This window comes from Homo sapiens, chromosome 1 (genome assembly GCF_000001405.40).
Source record: "Homo sapiens chromosome 1, GRCh38.p14 Primary Assembly".
Taxonomy (NCBI): domain Eukaryota; kingdom Metazoa; phylum Chordata; class Mammalia; order Primates; family Hominidae; genus Homo; species Homo sapiens.
The window spans coordinates 51,906,332-51,925,806 of record NC_000001.11 but is presented as its reverse complement, the minus strand read 5'-3'; the positions used below and the strand labels follow the sequence as shown (position 1 = coordinate 51,925,806).

General features: G+C 45.0%; 1 protein-coding gene across 2 annotated transcripts in view; it reads left to right on the top strand.

Annotated features, from left to right (window-relative positions):
• RAB3B (RAB3B, member RAS oncogene family) overlaps positions 1-17,851 on the top strand; it is an 82,745-nt gene extending 64,894 nt beyond the window's left edge. For both annotated transcript variants that reach the window (NM_002867.4, XM_017001958.2), the window contains exon 5: positions 5,693-17,851. In NM_002867.4, coding sequence (NP_002858.2) covers positions 5,693-5,880 — 188 coding nt within the window. In that variant the 3' untranslated portion in view covers positions 5,881-17,851. The remainder of the gene's footprint in view (positions 1-5,692) is intronic.
• The last annotated feature ends 1,624 nt before the right edge of the window (positions 17,852-19,475 follow it).

Genomic DNA, 19,475 nt, shown 5'->3' with positions numbered 1-19,475 from the left:
AAAGAATAGTTCCCATTTTTCTGGTTGGAATCTGACTGAAACAATCACACAAAGTGCCATGAGAGTACAGGGGAGAGAGACATTATATGTTCTGAGTGGTAGAGGTGTTGTGGGGAAGAAAAAGTGAAGCTTCTCTGGGATCAGTAATTCCACAGATGAATAATGAAGATGATTAGGAGTAGTAGCTAGAGATTAATAACATGAGCAATGGCACAAAATCAGGAAGCACTGATGTTTCTGGAGCATAGTGTGAGCCAGGAAGATGAAGCTGGGGGAGTAGAGACCAGGCCATGCCAGGTCTTGGGTGTTCAGCCAGTGAGGCTGGATATTGAATTGATCAGACCTCTTTCAATTCCAGTGACACAAATCCAAGTCAAAATAGCTCAAGTTATAGGGACAGGTGAATAGCTGAAGCAAAATGGAAGAGAAGGTCCATCCAAGGTGCCGGATGGATTGTCCACATGACACTCAAAGTTCCAGAGAATGAAAACAAGCCTTGAGTAGAAAGGAAGACAGTGAGTCCCACTGAGCCCAAATCATCAGTGACCAGAGGATGTGAGTTGAAGGTTGATAAATGACAGAGATGAGGTGGTGTCAGAGCAGGATGGAGAAGGGATCTGAACCGTGGAGGAGACATGTTCTGGAGCAGTGTTGGGATGAGGAGAGGTGAGTTTAGCTGGTTGCAAGTTTCTGAATAGAATTCTGAGGTCGTATTCAGAAGCAGGCAGTGTGGATGCAGTCTATGGGTCTGTGACAGCTGCCTTTGGACAGAGTAGATAAACGTGATCATTTTTGGGGGGTGGAGGAACATCTCAGATTCAGTTAAGAATTGAGCCCCATTAAAAACAGCAGAAATGTCATTGTTCTGAAGCCAATTAGGAGAAGAAAAGGACTGGGGGCTAGTCTGGATAATTGGTTGTCATCTTCCTGGCCTCACTAGATTCTCAGCTCCTAAAAGTCCTTATTAATGAACCTGAAGAAAAGGTTACCATATGGACCTACTAATGAAGAATATTTCAGGAATCTGACAGTAATTGGGTGGGGTGCATTTGGGGTTATTCTGCTAAGCAAGAGAGGCCCTTGAGCTGGCTAGACCCATGAGTTGGTAACTTGAGTCACAGTTCTCACATTCCGGGTACCTTTGAGATGACAGTAAAGACATCTCTTTGGCATGACACAAGAGCTCCCCCTGTTTGGCCCCCTGCTGACTCAACTCTCACCACTTAGGGTTTTCTGCTCTAAGGATAACAAACTGCTATGGCCCTTTTGGCATAGACCAAGGCTGATTTTGCCCCCTTATCTGTGCTCTATTCATGCTGTCTCCCCTGCCTGTTGTGCTATGCTAGACATGCCTGTGCTCACACATACACTCACAGTGACATGTCTTTGTCTAGCTGATATCTGCTTAAGCATCAGCTTCTCCAAGAAACCGTCCCTGGTCTCCAGGCTTGGTTAGATGCTTTCTCTGTGCCCTGACAATCCCCTGGCTTCCCTCCATTCCAACACTTATTGCCCTGTAATATTGTCAATGTGTCTATCTTCCATAACACACTAGGGGCTCCTCAAAGGTAAGGGCTGTGTCTGATTCACCTTGCTGTCCCCAATGCCCAGCACCGTGCTCATTGAGCTGAGCTTTCATGACCCACACTATCCGTATCCCCTCAACCACACCCTCCTTGCTCATTCCCACCTCCTTAATTCAACTATTCATTCCACCAACATTCACTAAGCACCTACTCTTCCAGGTGGTGCTGGGGCTCAGAATGACATAGTTCCTGTTTGGGGAGCTCCCTGTCTATATGGACTTCTGCCATGCAGGGTAAAAAGTGCTATGGCAGGAGGAAGCACAGAGGAGAATGAAGATACCATATGTAAGCTGAGTCCTGAAGAATGAGAAGAAGTTAGGTGAAGAGTTTTGTTTAATTATTTTTAATGTAATTTATTTGTGTATTCATTTATTTATTTATGGTCTCGAACAACTGGCCTTAAGCAACCTTCCTGCCTTGGCACCCCCAAAGTACTGGGATTCCAGGCTTGAGCCACTAGCACCTAGCCAGTTTTGCTCAGTTCTGACTTTTTTTTTTTTTTTTTTGAGACAGAGTCTCACTCTGTCGCCCAGGCAGGAGTGCAGTGGCGCAATCTCAGCTCACTGCAACATCTGCCTCCCAGGTTCAAGCAATTCTTCTGCCTCAGCCTCCCGAGTAGCTGGGATTACAGGCAGTGCCACCACACCCGGTTAATTTTTGTATTTTTAGTAGAGACAGGGTTTCACCATGTTGGCCAGGCTGGTCTCTAACTCCTGACCTCAGGTGATCCACCCACCTCGGCCTCCCAAACTGCAGGGATTACAGGCGTGAGCCACTGCACCCAGCCTGAGTTCTGACTTTAAAGGCTCACATCCTCACTAACTTCAAGAAGCTTCCTCCTCCTCTCCTTCCCTGCCAGCCTCTCCCTCTCCTGCATCCCTGCATGGCCTCTGGTTTCCTCTACCTGGGTTAGAATGTTACAGCTTGTTCTGTTGCTGTTCCAACTGAGCGTGAGACAAGGAGGCATAAGGGATAGACCCCTGGCCCATCTCTGAGTCTCAGTTTTCCTGTCTGCAAATTACAAGTGCTAACCCTTGCCTTGCCCCACCCCACTCACATGGTTGTTTTCGTATTTGTGAACTGTTAATGTGAACTGCAGATGGGAGAGACTGATGCCTTTATTAGCATGTCTTTTCTACAACTATAATTGATCTCCCTGTGTCTGTATCTCTAACACTCAACACAAGACATGGCACAAGGTCAATGCTCAATAAAGACTTGGTGGGCCAGTCACTGTGGCTCATGCCTGTAATCCCAGCACTTTGGGAGACCGAGGCGGGCAGATCACCTGAGGTTGGGAGTTCCAGACTAGCCTGGCCAACATGGTGAAACCCTGTCTCTACTACAAATACAAAAATTAGCCGGGTGTGGTGGTGGGTACCTGTAATCCCAGCTACTCAGGAGGCTGAGGCAGGAAAATCGCTTGAACCCGGGAGGCAGAGGTTGCAGTGAGCCGAGATTGTGCCACTGCACTCCAGCCTGGGCGACAGAGCAAGACTCTGTCTCTCAAAAAATAAATAAATAAAAATGAAATTAAAAAAAAAAAGACCTGGCTTATTGATTGACCCTAAGTGATGAAGACAAAGAGATTTCCCCAAAGGCCCTGGAGACAGTAGAGGTGCAAGGAAGCTGGGAGTAAGGTGGGCCAGGAACATATAGGAAAGAGAATTGCCATGTATTCACATGCCAATCATGTCATATACTTTCATGGATTTAATTTTCATTACTATCCTATGGGGTAGGTAGTATTCGCCTCATTCTATAGATGAGGAAACAGAGACTGGGAGCAATTAGGCAACTTGTCCAAGATCACACAGCTAGTAGCTGCCCTCTGTACAATGTGGCATGTCCTCCCCTCAGTGCCACTTCCTCACAAGGGATTTGTGCCCCTGGCCTTGAACTGTGTCCTCATCTTCATCTGAGCTGAAAACCTATTTACTTACTTACTGGTCTGCCTCTTTCCCAAATAAACAATACACTCCCCGCACCTCCCCAAACACTGCCACTTGTGATAAGGCAGTCAAAGACTGGGGAGTCCATTTTTGTGACGTTCATTAAGGAAAAACGATATGCTGGAGGGTCTCTGAAGCTGACTGGGTTTCTATGGCCTGAGTATAATGAGCCAGCAGCTGCCTCCTTCTTCATCACATGTCCACAATTAGCAGGCACTTCTGCTGCTTGTCTTTCTCAGGTCAGGAGATGGGCCACAGGAGAGGCTGTCAGCTGGAGGTGGGCTGGCAGGAATGGCATGTGCCTTCCAGCCAAAAGGCTGGGAAAAGAGAGGCCTTGTTTATACCTGGGGGGCTTCAGCCCTCTCTATGGATGGTGGAATAATAGGGAGAAAGAGGGAGGGGGGAAAGAGATCCCTCCTTTGTTAGAGAAGATGATAAAAGAGGATGTTAGAAAGATGGAGAGGAGGTGGGAGGAACAAGTTGAAAGAACAGAAGGAAACTGTCTTTATAACAGGCCACTTTTTTACAGCAATGTATTCATCATCTCACACACTCCTCCCACCTGTTCTTGGTAGGAAGACACTGTTGTTTGTCTTATTTGACAACAGGGAGTCTGAGAATTGGAGAGGTTAAGTGAGCAGAGAGGTGAAGTGACTTGCCCAGACTCAGATACTGTTAGTCGGATTAAAGCAGAGGAGGCCAAAGAGACTTGTAAAGGAAGAAAAAGGTATAATCAGGAAAAAAAAATGCAAAGTGAAAGAGAAAAGGGGGAAGAAATGAGAGGCAGAGCTGTGTGTGGACTTTGGAGACAGCCAAACCCAGGTCTAAATCCAGTTTCCGCTAATACAGCCACATGACTTTGTGTGAGTTATGCAGTCTCTCATATTCTCATTTATAAATTGGAGATGATGTTATTTACCCAACTGGTTATTGTGAGGATTAAAGAAGATGATATCAGTAAAGCTCCTAGCATAGTGTCTGGCATGTAGTAGTTGCCCCAAAGATATTAGGAATCCCAAGGAGAAAATGCAAGGGACACAGGGGAAAGGCTCCAAAAGAAGGGAAAGAGGAAAGCAGACAGACAACAGAAGTGGGAGAGGGCTGGGGACTGATGGAGAGGGCCACTTTTGCTTCTAAGGGCTGCCACCAAGCTGACCAAGATTCCTTGGGTGGAAAGCAGCCTTTTGGAATCAGGAGGGCCTTTGCTGTGTCTCTTGGGACAACCAAGTTCTTTTCATCACAGAAAGTGACGCTAAGGGTCTCAAGATACAAAATAGACAAGAATGTTGCATACCTGAGATGTAGTTTTCCCTGGGCCTTTTGTTGGGTTTGTGGAGGGAGGGTGAGATCTATTGGATCGTTTTAGTGGAATTCAGGGAGGAGGAACCCCACTGAGTGGAAATAAACCAGTGTGGCTATGGGTGGAAAGGGCAAAGAAGACTTATTCAGTGTGAATCTTGAGGTGCCTCCTAGAGCCCAGACTAGAGCTGGCCAGCCTAGGGGGAATGAGAGGCAGGGGAAAGAGGAGGAAAATCCCTGCGAAAAAGTCCAAAACCTGGGCTTCTCATACTGGTGCTTTTCCTTATCTTGGGCAAGCTAGCTTACTTCTGTAAGCCAGTGTTTGTATTAGTGAAGTGGAGAGGATCTGACTGAGACTCCTTCCTCAGGGGCAACATGAAGATCAAATAAAATAATCTATGTGATAAGTGCTTTGGAAACTGTAAGGTGCTGTGGACACACGTTTATGCATTTGCTCTGTCAGCAAACACTAATGACCCCCTCTGTGTCAGGCACAGGGTTATATATTTCACATACATTGTCTTGCCTGATCCTTGAAATAATTCTATGAAGTAGGTAAAATTATCCCTTTTTACAAACCAGGAAATTGATTTGTAAAGAGAATAAATGACTCAGCCCGGAATTAAACAGCTGGGCGGTGGTAGAGCTAGGATCAGTCTGACTGAAAGACCAGTGCAGGAAACTCCTGCCCTGTACCGTCTCCTTGAAGCAGAATCCCATGTCCGTGGAATTTAGCCTCTTTGCTTCACTGCTGAGCACTGGACATATTAATCCAGAGTGCTTGGGCTGAGGGCACAGAAGGGTTCCAGCAGAAGGGATGGGAAAAGTCCTTATCTGTATCTCTCCTCTTTCCAGGGTTTGATTTCTTTGAAGCCAGTGCAAAGGAGAACATCAGTGTAAGGCAGGCCTTTGAGCGCCTGGTGGATGCCATTTGTGACAAGATGTCTGATTCGCTGGACACAGACCCGTCGATGCTGGGCTCCTCCAAGAACACGCGTCTCTCGGACACCCCACCGCTGCTGCAGCAGAACTGCTCATGCTAGGCAAGGCCCACCTTCCTGACCTCCCCTCATTGTGGCCCCACACCCAGTCTGCTTCTCCCTGTTACACACTGTCCGCTCTCAGCCCACTCTCCCTGTTACACACTGCCCACACTCAGAGCAAGATGAGTTGCTGCTATTCTTTGCCTGCCCCTGGGGTTCTCTGCAGATGGTCCCAGTAATAGATACTCAGCACTAGACTAACATAACAGGTCACTACACGGGTGCAGAATCACTTTACAAAAGAAGACTCTGTTTTACGAAGGGGATTCACTACAGGGACTTAGAGAACAGTCTCTTTTCTGCCTTTAAAATGAGAGTTCCTCCATTTACCAAAATTTGACACGCACACATTCTTCAGGGGCATGCCAATTGCGTAAAGTGAGGCTCGCCTGCATAGCTAATCCTGTTAAAGACAACTTCTCAAAGCACAACGTGCTTGTTTCCTATCGGGCTCCCTGCGGGGCTTTCTCTCACTACAAGTCAAGCTTGGGCTCTCAAAGCCCTGCGCCTGTTACCACGGATGCCCACAGGGCCTGGGCAGTTGCTGTGGCGACAGGAAGAGCTAATCTTCAGAGAGCTCAGACTCTCTAATGATGCTGAAGGAGCAAAGGCTGAGTCAGAAACACACTTAAGAGAAAAGGATTGGCCGGGCGCGGTGGCTCACGCCTGTAATCCCAGCACTTTGGGAGGCCGAGGCGGGTGGATCATGAGGTCAGGAGATCGAGACCATCCTGGCTAACAAGGTGAAACCCCGTCTCTACTAAAAATACAAAAAATTAGCCGGGCGCGGTGGCGGGCGCCTGTAGTCCCAGCTACTCGGGAGGCTGAGGCAGGAGAATGGCGTGAACCCGGGAAGCGGAGCTTGCAGTGAGCCGAGATTGCGCCACTGCAGTCCGCAGTCCGGCCTGGGCGACAGAGCGAGACTCCGTCTCAAAAAAAAAAAAAAAAAAAAAAAGAGAAAAGGATTATCCCCTACAAAATGTCAGAGGTTCCTGCTATATGAAAGAGCAAGTAGGTATGCTCAAGAAAGACAAACAGAGAAAAAGAGAAACAGGCAAGATCAAGAAACAGATCATGAGTTTCTGATTTTGCTGCTTTCCAGTTGGTTCTTAACTGTGGGAACTTAGTGAAATTGGTTATTAGTTCTTAGACTCCTAGAACCTGAGGATTTTAGATTTGACGGGATGCCCAAATTTACCTAGTCTGACTAGTCAGTTCTAACCTTCCTTTTTCTGACAAGTGACTGTCAAGCCTAACAATCAAATCTCTTTCTTTTAAAGCACACCTTCTAGGCAGGGACAGGAGCTCATTTTCCACACCATCTTTGTCAACTCTCATAGAAAGTTTTCCTTGTATCGAGCTCAAATCTGCCTCCTGGAAATTCTTCTTCTTCTTCCCTCCCTGTTGGTACCAGCTCTGCTGTCAGAGACTTCACAGTCTGTGCTCCCTCTGCCCTGTGACGTCTTCAGACTATTTGAGAACAGGAATCATGACTCCTGGGACTTGCCTTTTCTCTAGGTCAAATACCTCTATAATTCCATCTGCTGTTCTTCATAGGGTCTTCTCCCTATCCTGCCCTTTTCCTCCAATCCATCTTTTAACTGCTCTTGAGCAGTCTAACTGAGAAGTATGATTCAAAGCAAAATAAATCTTAAGGTGGCATGACTCTGAAAAAATTGAGAAAATTGAACTCAGAGATCCCGATCCCAACCCCTTTCTCCTGGGAGTGAAACCTTAGTTTCTACCAGAGAGTGTGGGAAACCACTTCTGGTGGAAGCCCCTTAATTAAATACCTGAGGAAAAAAATAAAAGAAACTCAGAGACCAGAATAAATTAGCTCATTATTCTAGCTTGCTTGGCCACAGGGACATATTTTGTTTTGGCTGAAATAATGACATGGAACTGGCAGTGATTCCAGAAAACCTTTCTTCTCTATCATGGCCTGAATCCTCAGCCACCTCAAAAGTCAGCGGGCAGGAGGAGTCTCTCGCCAGTTTTCTTTTCATTTCAAATGAGGCTCATTGTCCTAGAAAAGTAATTAACTAGCAACCAGTCCAATGACTAAATAAAAGGACCATCCAGCTGTGGCTCACACCTGTAATCCCAGCACTTTGGAAAGCCAAGGCAGGAGGAACACTTGAGGCCAGGAGTTTGAGACCAGCCTGGGCAATGTGGTCAAATTCTATCCCTACAAAAAAAAAAATTAGCCAGATGTGATGGTGCATGCCTGTAGTCCCAGCTACTTGGGAGGCTGAGGCAGGAGGATTGCTTGAGCCCAAGAATTTGAGGTTGCAGTGAGCTGTAATTATGCCACTGCATTCCAGTCTGGGTGACAGAGTAAGAATAAGACCCTGTCTCTCTGTCTCTCTTTCTCTCTTTTTTTTTTTAAAGGAGTCAGCTCTACAAAGATGTTGCTTTCTTTGATGCAATGCAGAGAGCAGAGCTTTGGACTTGGAATCAGGAGACCCGGACTCTGTCATTAAATCAACTGTGACTCTGGGCCAGTTACTTTCCACTTTTGAGTCTTGATTTCCTACTTATAAAATGAGGGAGCTTATTTGGATGATCTTTAAGGTCTCTTTTGGCACTAATAACTCGGTGTCTCTTTTTTTTCACCTTCACCATTTCAGTTGATCCACCAAACAAACCTGAGAGATCAGGATTGGCATCCAAGAGTTGTCTCGGCCAACTCTGATGTCATGCTTACTCTGTACTAGACATTGTTCCAAGCATTTTACGTGCATTAACTCATTTATCTTCCCAACATCTTGTGAGGGAGGCACTATAGTGAGCCTCATTTGAAGATGAGGAAACAAAGGTACAAAGAGGTTCTAGCTGGACCTCTAAAGTCACATAATAAGTAAGTGGTAGAGCTGGAGTTCACATCCAGGCAGTAGGCTCCAAGGTCTGTGCTCTTAACCACATTCTGGGCTGCATCTTTTATAGACAAACTATGATCCAGAGAGATTACGAGACTTGGATCACATACCAAGAGAGTGTTAAAGCCACATTAGGATTCAATTCCAGGGCCATCAGATTCCAAGTCCACTGGAGAAAAGATGTATATCTCTAATCTGTTAACAAATTGCTCAACTACTCAGACTAATCCCAGGTGATGGATGTCTAATGCTCAGGAAAGGCGAGTCAGTCTCTGAGGCAACAGATCCCATGGGCCTGGGTAGAAAATGCCCAGTGCTTCCCAGTCCCAAGTGCTGGCTTTCCCTGTATCTGCCTCTGCCAGGCAACACTTATCAGGCTCCCAATCAGCAGGAGCCTCCATGCTCCACTTTGAACAGCCTCTATGCTCCAGCAATGGGGCATTTGTGAAGAGTGACTTGATTAACTTTTCTGACCATGGGTATAATACAGTTGCTTCAGAGGGCAGTGGTTCTGGGTGTGATTTTTACACTGTAACATTGTATACAGTGTCATGGATAATTACTATTTTTTTCTGGTCATTAACACTCACCTACTCTAGTACTAGGATTTCAGACCAAGGTCCTCATGACGCCTGGATATTTTAGTATCTATATCCAATAATCTTTTCTCTCCTACTGAATATCCAGGCAAAGATGAAATCGTTTTCTTTAAAACTGTCAAATTCTGTAAAACTCAGGAGCCAGTTCAAGGGAACAAGCATCTTCACAATAGATGGAATCAAGAGTTAAATGTTATAGTGGCAAGCTTGTCTACTGGGCAACAGACAACCAGACCTGCTTGTGAGATGGCAGCTCCCCAGCCCTGCTCTGTGACCTCATTTCTGTCAAATGAAAGGCAGCAGCTTCCAGCTGATTGCAGCATAGTGTTCATCAATCACAGTAATAGCGCAATTAGCCACCAAGGTTCAAGCTGTGTAATATGTGTTAGTGGCAACTTGTCCTGGATTTAATCTTCCTCAACAATCCAAATAAAATATTTAAAAACTCTTGACTTCTGGCTGGGCGCAGCAGCTCATGCCTGTAATCCCAGCACTTTGGGAGGCCGAGGTGGGCAGATCACCTGAGGTCAGGAGTTCAAGACCAGCCTGGGCAACATGGTGAAACCCCCATCTCTACTAAAAATACAAAAATTAGCCAGGCGTGGTGGTGGGCACCTGAAATCCCTACTCAGGAGGCTGAGGCAGAGAATCGCTTGAACCTGGGAGGCAGAGGTTGCAGTGAGCCGAGATCGTGCCACTGCACTTCAGCCTGGGTGACAGAGCGAGACTCCATCTCAAAACAAAACAAGCAAACAAACAACAACAACAAAAAACACCTCTTGACTTCTAAAGACGCAAAAGTGGCCAAAAGTGCAATACAGTATTGTGTTTATTTACATCTATTTTAAATGCATGTGTATCTGTAAATACAAAGTGATTCGTGACTCATTGTCTCCTCAGTCTATAGCATTATTAACTTCTAGGAGCAGCAGTGGAGTAGAGTGTACTGAATGGTCACAGACTCATCGATTATCAGATCTGGAAAGGAGCTTAGAGAAGATCTGTTCCAGGCTCCTATTTTATAGAAGGGAAGGTTGACATCCAAAGAATGGAAGGAAATCTCCTAATTATTCTGAGAGTATCACAGTGATGGAGCCAGGACTAGGTCCTGGATCACCTCTAAGAAGACACTTAGCTATTTGACTATCGACTAGGGCCTAGCATTATTAAGCACTAGATAAATACAGATGAAAAAAAAAATGATCCCTGCCTGCAAGGTCCTATGATCTAATGGAGATGCTGTTTCTAAAATATTATTATCCCAATTTGGCAGTCAAGGAAACAGCCCTGGAAAAGTTAACATGCTCAAGTCACCCACTAGCATCATTTGAACCCTCCTCTGTCTGACTCATGCTCTTTCAAATTTTTTTCTTCAGATTGTCTTAGCAGAAGGGTAGATGGGATATACCCTCTGGTAGTACCAGGCTCCCAAGGATTCTTAGAGTTAAATAACCTCAGTTAATTAAATAGCCACAATTGCTTGGTGACCGAAGCCTTATAACATCCACAGAATAAGACCATTCTCCAGACCTGACTCCCCAACTCATATCACCTGCTCCTGCCGGCCACTAAGCTCCTTGCTTGGATATCGAGTTTTCTGGAGTATCCTGAGGAATGTTTGTTTGACTTTGTTTGCCAACAGTTTAGGGGAAGGGGAAAGAACTACAATAACCAGTGTCCTGGGATCTCATTGATTTCAGATTCCCTGCCCCAAGCCTACACCCAATTACCTGCCATAGTTGGGGAATCAAGTAGCATCCTGTGGCTGGAAGTAAATGCAAAACACTAGTCCGTGAGATATAAATACTGTTAAATGATGGTTTTTTAAGGTCCTGATCCATTATATGAAGTAGACAAAATTCAAATTTATTTATTCATTTATTTTCTCAACAAATGAATATATATTATGTGCCAGGATACAAGTAGTGGCAAATTAGACACAGTTCTTGCTTTCATGAAACGTATAGCTTCATGATTTAGTATAGACATTGTCAAATCATCACCCAAATATAATTACAAAGTACTCTAAAGGAAAGGCACGTGATGCTGTGAGAACACTCAACTGGGAAACCGGAATCACCTTTGAGAAACTGTTTCAGGGGCTCTTGGAAGAGTCTACTGCTCCCAAATATCTCTGCTACCCACTGGCCATTGCTTTACATTCCTCAACTAAGCTTTCACCTTTTAGTACTAACCTTTGATGACTGATCAAATACAAATGCCCCAAGAAGACTGAGGATAGGAGAAAGAATATCTCTACCTGTGAAACATTGTTAGACTGCCTGGCTAGGAGTTCATTGTTGTTTTCTGAAGGACGTAACCAACCACTCCAAAACTTACAGGCTTAAAACAACAAACATGTATCATTTCTTATGATTCTGTGGGTTGGCTGGGTGGTTCTTCTGGCTGAGGCAGGATGGTCTAGGATAGCTACATCCACATGTCTGGGGTCCCAGCTGAGATGACTGGGGCTGTTGAGGCCTTTCTCCCTGTGGTGTCATCCTCCAGAAGGCTGCCCAGATTTGTCCATATGGTAGCAGGAGTTTCCTCGAAGCAAGAGAGGGCAAGATCCAACACAGAAGCACTTTTCAAGCTCTGTTTCCATCACATTTGCCAATGTCTCACTGATGAACACAAGTTCCATGGCCAAGTCCAGTTTTAAGAAATGGAGAAATAGGGCTTGGCTCAGTGGCTCATGTCTGTAATCCCAGCACTTTGGGAGGCCAAGGCATGCGGATCATTTGAGGTCAGGAGTTCCAGACCAGCCTGGCCAACATGGTGAAAACCCATCTCTACTAAAAATACAAAAATTAGCTGGGTGTGGTGGCGGGCATCTGTAATCCCAGCTATTTGGGAGGCTGAAGCACAAGAATTGCTTGAACCCAGGAGGAGGAGGTTGCAATGAGCCTAAATCGCACCACTGCACTTCAGCCTGGGCGATAGAGCCAGACTCAGTCTCAAAAAAAAAAAAGGGGAGGGGGAAATAGATGCCATCTCTTTATGGGAGGAGCTACAAAATATGGTGACCAATTTTTCAATCTACCACAGGAAGCACCCTCAGTCCTCTGAAACTAAGTCTGGTAGATGTCCTGGGGTCTTAAAACATGGCTCCGATGATATCACCAAAGACAAGTGGCAAAACTGTATAGGGCAGGGCAGTCTTATCATTTGTTTAATAGTGATCCAAAGGATTTACTTTGGAGGAATCAAGACACTCGAGATGAAGAAGTTTTGATGCTTGTTAAACAGTCCATTTGGATACCTCTTAGCTATCCCCGAGGGATGAATCTGACTTCTCATTTCACAGGATTCACCGTAGATAATGGTTGTAATTCCTACCGGAAGTTCCTGGCCAGAAGCCCAGCAGAAAGATTCAGTATATATAGAAAAGATGGCTCCAAGAACAGTTGGGCCTTCTGTTCTAACTGTACTTCCTTCTTTGATGTACTCGTCTAGTCCCGAGGCTTTAGATGCCAAGTCTTTGATAATAACGTGTATCTAAGTGCCTACTGGACATTTTCATGTCTCAAACTTAACATGTCCAAATTGAAACTCTTGATTCTGCCCCCAAACTTGTTTGAACCCCAGTCTTCACAGAAAACTCATCCTTAATTCTTTGATTTTTCTCTTTTTCTCAGCCTCCTTGTCTAATCTAGCAGCAGATCCTAGGGTTTTACTTCTAAATATATCTCAAATCTGATCATTTTTCTCCATTTTCATTGGCATGACCTTGGTCCAGGCCACCATTGTTTTCTGCCCTAGAGAGCTACCACAGAGTTCCTAACATTTCCCTACTTACGTAATTACTCCACTCTAGTCCATTCTGTCTCACAGGAGTAACATTTTTTATATATATATATATATATATATATATATATATATATATATATATATTTTTTTTTTTTTAATAGAGACGGTCTTGCTATGTTGCCCAAGCTGGTTTCAAATTCTGGCCTCAAGCGATCCTCTTGCCTTGGCCTCCTGAGTCACTAGGATTGTACGTATGAGCCACCGCATCCAGCCTCAATGGCAATCTCTTAAAAATCTAAATAAATGAACGGCTCAGTAACACTGAGGTTTACTTCACACAAAAACAATCCAAACCTTGGCAAGACGGTGAAACCCTGTCTCTACAAAAAATACAAAAAATTAACTGGGCAAAGTAGCCTGCACCTATAGTCCCAGCTACTTGGGAGGCTGAGGTGGGAGGATCGATTGAGCCCTGGAGGTCAAGAATACAGTGAGCCATAGCCATGATTGTACACTGTGCCACTCCAGCCTGGGTGACAGAGCAAGACCCTGTCCCCCTCTCAAAAAAAAAAAAAAAAGAAAGAAAGAAAGAAAAAAAAGAAGAAAAGGAAAGAAATGAAGAGAATTCAGAGACTTCCATTATTATTAATACCTATTTTATTGATTCTGTTTCTAGCCCTGAGTCCGCTCCTAACTTGCTATAGGATCTCTGGTAAATCATTTCCTGTAATAAGCAGCTGTCACCTCTCTCCTTGTTTCTTCCAGAAATAGTAATCTCTTCTTTAGTAGTACTACTACTCCCTAACCCAAACCAGGTGATTCTAGTGAAGACTGTCAATAAACGGAGCATGTGATCAAGCAGGGCCCATCAGAATCCTTCCCTAAGATTTTTATAAAAAGCTGGACCTATTCTTTTTCCATTTGAGTGGCAAATATTTGAAGATATGAGGTCTAAAGCTGTGATGGCTTATTCTCCATCCCTGTGTAAATTCTGGTCTATAGTAAGCGAAAACAAGGCCATTAGGCAGAGGGCAGCAGAGACATAAGGTGAGAAAGAGTGTGGTCTCTGGTTTTCTAGACCCTGATTCTGGTTTGGAGGCTTGGCTGATCACCTCTTCCTTTGATTCTGATAGAAAGCTCAATGTATCTTTCTAATAAAACCCCCCTTTGCTTTGCTTGTTGGAGTTAGGTTCTTATCCCTTGCAACCAAAAATATATTGTCTCTTCTTTTGTTCTCAGTTTTCTCATTTATATATCCTTCTAGCTCCAAAGCACAGAAATTCTAAAACAAACAAACAAACAAACAAAAACAAACAAAAAAAACCTGGGTCATTCAGAAAATCCCACTGATATAGACTTTCTGATCCAGAATGTATAATCTGAAAAGAAGCCTACCCTCGTCTCCATCCTCTCTTCTTGTACCTGAAGGAACGAAGAAGAGGGATTTCTCAAGGTGAGAAGCAGTTCTCCATGGACACTGATGACAGCACAGGCAAAGTTTCCTATGACTAGGGATCACTGTCCACACAGAGTCTGGCTTCCCAGGTATCCAGCAGGTAGACAAAACAGCTAACTCCACTGCCACTCCTTTCTCCACATCCGTTCCTATTTCTCAGCCATCTCAGTGACATCCGCCATCTTGAGAGTCAACTACTGACTGGACTGAGTTGTGTGGTATATGCTTCTGTTTACTTCTCTTCTGTCTTTTTTAAGTGGCCAAATAGCAAACGCTTAAATAGGAAATCTCTGGGAGACTTGAATAAAAGACTTTGCTTGGTAGAAAATCATGTCACAGAAAGGCTAATAGACAGCAAAGTAAATCAGCAAGTCCCTGAGCAGTAGGATTAGGATTCCTGTCTCCTTTCAGATTCAAATGCATCTGTTTCTGGGGTTAACAGTGGACTGTTAAGAGGCTGTGCAGCTTGGGTTAAGTCATTCTTATCTCTGGGCTTCAGGAGCTTAGACCAGATAGTTTCTACAGGCTCTCTTGGTGCTGATGCCTTGGGATTCTGTGGCTGTTTTCTGTAAGATCTGCAAGGGGGAAACAGGATTTTGGCAGCAATCCTTTCATTACTAAAGCTTCCTTTCTTTTCGGGTACAGTGAAAAGAGCCAAGGCTGTGTGACCCCCTCATCACTTAGCCAGGCGTATGGTCCTGGTTTCTGAGGCTGCCAGAAAGCATCTTAGCAATTTGTGTTTGGATGGTCCATGCCTGACTATTCTAGGCTGGAGGTTCCTAAAGAGTAACAAGAGGAAGAGAAACAAGAATCTCTGACACTTGTTGAGAATAGAGCACAGTCCCATTTGTTTGAAAAGAGACACCAGGCAGCCATGTTTATGTGCCAGAAATGCATTCCACCTCAAGGAGGACTTAATTTATGGACCCGTGTGTGCCAGGCTGAGCTGGGCAAGATCTTTCTCAGGACAAACTCTGCCATGCAGCTAAAAGCCTGGAAACTAAAGGATTTCATGTAGTAAACTATCTTCCAACCCCTGTAGACATCAGACCACAGGATGAGGTTTCAGAAGGTCATAAGGCAGAATAGTTAAGCCTACAGGGCTTACAGTCTGACAGACCTGGGTTCAGTTCTTGGGTCTTCATCACTAGTTTTGTGACTTCGGGAAGATGACTCCCGGAGCCTCAGTGAGCCTCAGTTACTTCATATGTAAATGAAGTAATACTATCTACTTCACAAGGCTGTTGAAAGGATTAAATGGAGAATGGGTGTAAAACCCTTAGTGCAGTGCCGTGCACACACAGTAGATGCCGAACGTGTGATGTTGGCACTACACAATGTGTAATCCCAATCAGGCAGAGCTAGGCAGGCAAATCTAATCCAGGATCTTTGTAAGGGGACTGAGAACCAGAGACTGGAGAAAGCCAGTGTAAACACCATGAGCAAAGGAGCAAGAGAAGGGGCATTGTGTAAGTAGGAGATGGAGCTTGAACTTACTAAGTGGATCAGGGTAGAAGAATCCAGTCAGGACCAAGGGAGGAGAGTCCAGGAAAATGCCATGAGCAGCTCTGTAGCATGACCTTGTTGGGCTGGGTTAAAGTAGGGTCTGCCACCAGTCATGTGACAGAAAGGTACCTCATGCACTTCCTCCTTCCCCCAGAAATCAGCCTCCAGGAGTGAGGAATGAGCCCAGAATGAGAGTTTAGAGTGCTCCAGAGCCTTTGTTAGAGGTGCCCTCCGACATTCAGAAAACCAGGATTCCAGAGACCTGGGTTTGAGTCCTGACTTTGCAGCATACTAACTGTGTGATCTTGAACCAACATATTTTCACCTAATGAGGCTGACAATCTTCCCTACTTCACAAAATAGTTATGAGAGTCAAATAAAAGTACATTTTAGAAAGTGAAATGCTGTGGACATTTAAGGTGGAGCCACTGTGAGAGTCTAGGGGGATAGATGGTATTCGTCTCAGAATGAAACGAATACACCCCTCTCAGAGCCCTTTCCAAGGATCCCCTCCTTCTTTCAGCTCCTTCCCTCCACCTCAATACACACTCCTGTCCCAGGAACCTAACCTCATCTAGAAATACCAGGGCCAGCATGCCTTACACCTAGAGGTTTGGTTGGCTTCAGAGAAACTTCTGGAGGCTAAAAGCAGCCAAGAAGAATCAGCCACTACATGCTGGGCCTGGATGAACAGAGCAGTGAGCTGTGATGGGGCTGGGGCTGGGGCCCAGGAGGAGCAGGCAGGAGAGTTTGTATGCACCGTGATTCAAATATTATAACAAAAATCATCGATCATGTGTTAGGCACTTTACAGTTCCCAAAGCACTTTCCCATCCATGCCCTGATGATCTTTGACACAACACTGTGATGTGGGTTTTATTATTTCCAGTACAGATGAGGAAGACTGAGGCCTGCATCAGTGAAGCAACCTATCCAAGACTACATAGAGAAGGCAGTAAATGGCAGGGTTAGTCTCAGAACAGGGGAGGGTCTGTTCCCCCCGCAGTGGGCAGTCCTAATTCTGAACTTCACCTATCTGGGGGTGATAGAGGGGAACAAGAGGAAGCCTGCTGAAGAGAAAACCTAAACATCTGTTTTGTCTACGTATGACTTCCTCTGCTTGTGGGAGAGAAGGAAGGAAAGGAACACATTGTTGTCAGCCCCACAACCCCAACAGAATTAAACCCTGGAGCAGGTTGAACAGCAGAGGCTTCCCTCAGATCAAGGAGCCAGGAGCAGATGATCTATCTCTGTGGCCACACAGAGAGATGTCACCTTATGCAATTTGCATATCATATTCAATTCCCCCAACTGCTCTTTCTAATTTATTCAACTGGGGACCAGGCTGGTCTCATGCCAACCTAGGAGATGTACCATAGCAGTATGAGCAGAATTCCTCAGGAGGAACAATTAGCAAAAACTGCAGTTGCCTCTCGATAGGCCTGAGCAGAGAGAGGAACAATAGCTCTCACGTCTCTCCTCATCAGATTCTAACTAAGCAGATGTTCTCATGCTTTTTTCTTCTTCCTATGTTCTGTATACTGACACCTCTTCTCAGTGGCATATGAAATATGAAATGTCATGTGTTGTGAGTTTGTATAAATATAAAGGAATATATATACACAGTAGCAAAAGAGAAGATCTCATTTACAAATATCTATGGTGTTTCCTTGTTCTGTGTTGATCTGTTTTATTGATACAAACTGAATTTTCTTAATGTATCTTCTATCTCTATTATAGTGGCAATGATGGTATATGCATTAAAGTTCTTCTGAATTGTGTATCATTTGTAGAGTGACTCTTTCCTGAGTTTGTGCTAAGAACTTTGGGCAGAGGAGGCTGGGCGCAGTGGCTCATGCCTGTAATCCCAGCACTTTGGGAGGCCAAGGCAAGTGGATCACTTGAAGTCAGGAGTTCAAGACCAGTCTGGCCAACATGGCAAAATCCCATCTCTACTAAAAATACAAAAATTAGCCAGATGTGGTGGTGGGCACCTGTAAATCCCAGCTCAACTGGGGAGGCAGAGGCAGGAGAATTGCTTGAACCCAGGAGGCAGAGGTTGCAGTGAGCCGAGATCGCTCCACTGCACTCCAGCCTGGGTGACAGAGTGATACTCTGTCTCAAAAAAAAAAAAAAAAAGAACTTTGGGTACAGATTCTTGCATTCAGAAATCTTTAAGAGGAACTGGGAAACAGGTCCAGCACCAGTGCAACAAAAGACACAATATGATGCAATAGCTCATGATGGACTCAGGAAAGGGGGAGATCAGGATGGACTACAACAGTCAGGGAAGGCTTCATGGTGAAGGAAGGACTGACATTGCAAGAGGTCAGGGAATGCCTATTAGTGTGCACTTCTGGAGACCTGCTGGGCTGTGGCTCTGTGCTAGGTGGTGTAGAGGTTGCAGAGAATAACAAGGGGCAATGTGTGCCTCCCAGCAGCTTAGCTCAGTGTTAGCTCATAGCAGAGATTTAAGATACACTGCTGGATGGCACGTGGGAACAAAGCTGCTGAGCTGGAAAGTAGAGAGCCCACAGGAAAATGAAACCAAATGTAGACAGAACTGGCAGCCCCAGGAAGGGGCAGAACCTGCTCCCTACCCCCACCTCTCCTCAAAAAGTTTAATGAGTCTAAGTAGGCGGGATATTCAGTCCAATTTTACACCTATCTCCACCATGATGTGCTAGGAAACCTTTCCCCTTTCTTAGCCTAGTTAACTCCTACTCATCTGCCAGGACTCAGGCATGGAGACCCTGGTGGGCCAGGGAGGACACAGAGCTTTGGAAGCACAGAGCAGAGATAACGGAGGTGTCAGAGATGCATTCAGAGATTGGAATTCCTTCCTTCCTTCCTTCCTTCCCTTCCCTTCCTTCCTTTCCTTCCCTTTCTTCCTTTTCTTTCTTTTCTTTCCTCTCTTTCTTTTTTGGCATTTTAAAGAGTCCCTAGATAGGATTCTTTCAGTTACAGGACAGAGACCCACTTTTAGTAGTCACACAGTAAAAGAGGGGATCATGGCGGGAGGGAAATTTGTTAGCTCATGTTACTTATAAAGTCCTGGGCTATATCTAGCTTTAGGCTTAGATAGAAGCAGGTGACTAAATTATATTATCAGGATTCTCTCTCTTAGCATCAGTTTTCTCTGGGTCAGCTTTATTCTCAGGCCACTCCGGGCTTATCCTATTCATATAGCCATCTGGACAGAGAGAATGGCTCTCCTTCAGTAGTTTTGGCAAAAGTCCCGGTCATGTTTAGAATAGTCTAGGATTAATCATTATGCCAGGGGATGGGGTGTTCTGGTTGGCCAACACTAGATTTTATGCCAATCTCAAGTTGGAATGTGGGGTCAGTCCCACCCAAACCAGAGGAACTGCAAGTGGGAGAGGGATGGTTGCCCCAAAGGAAAAT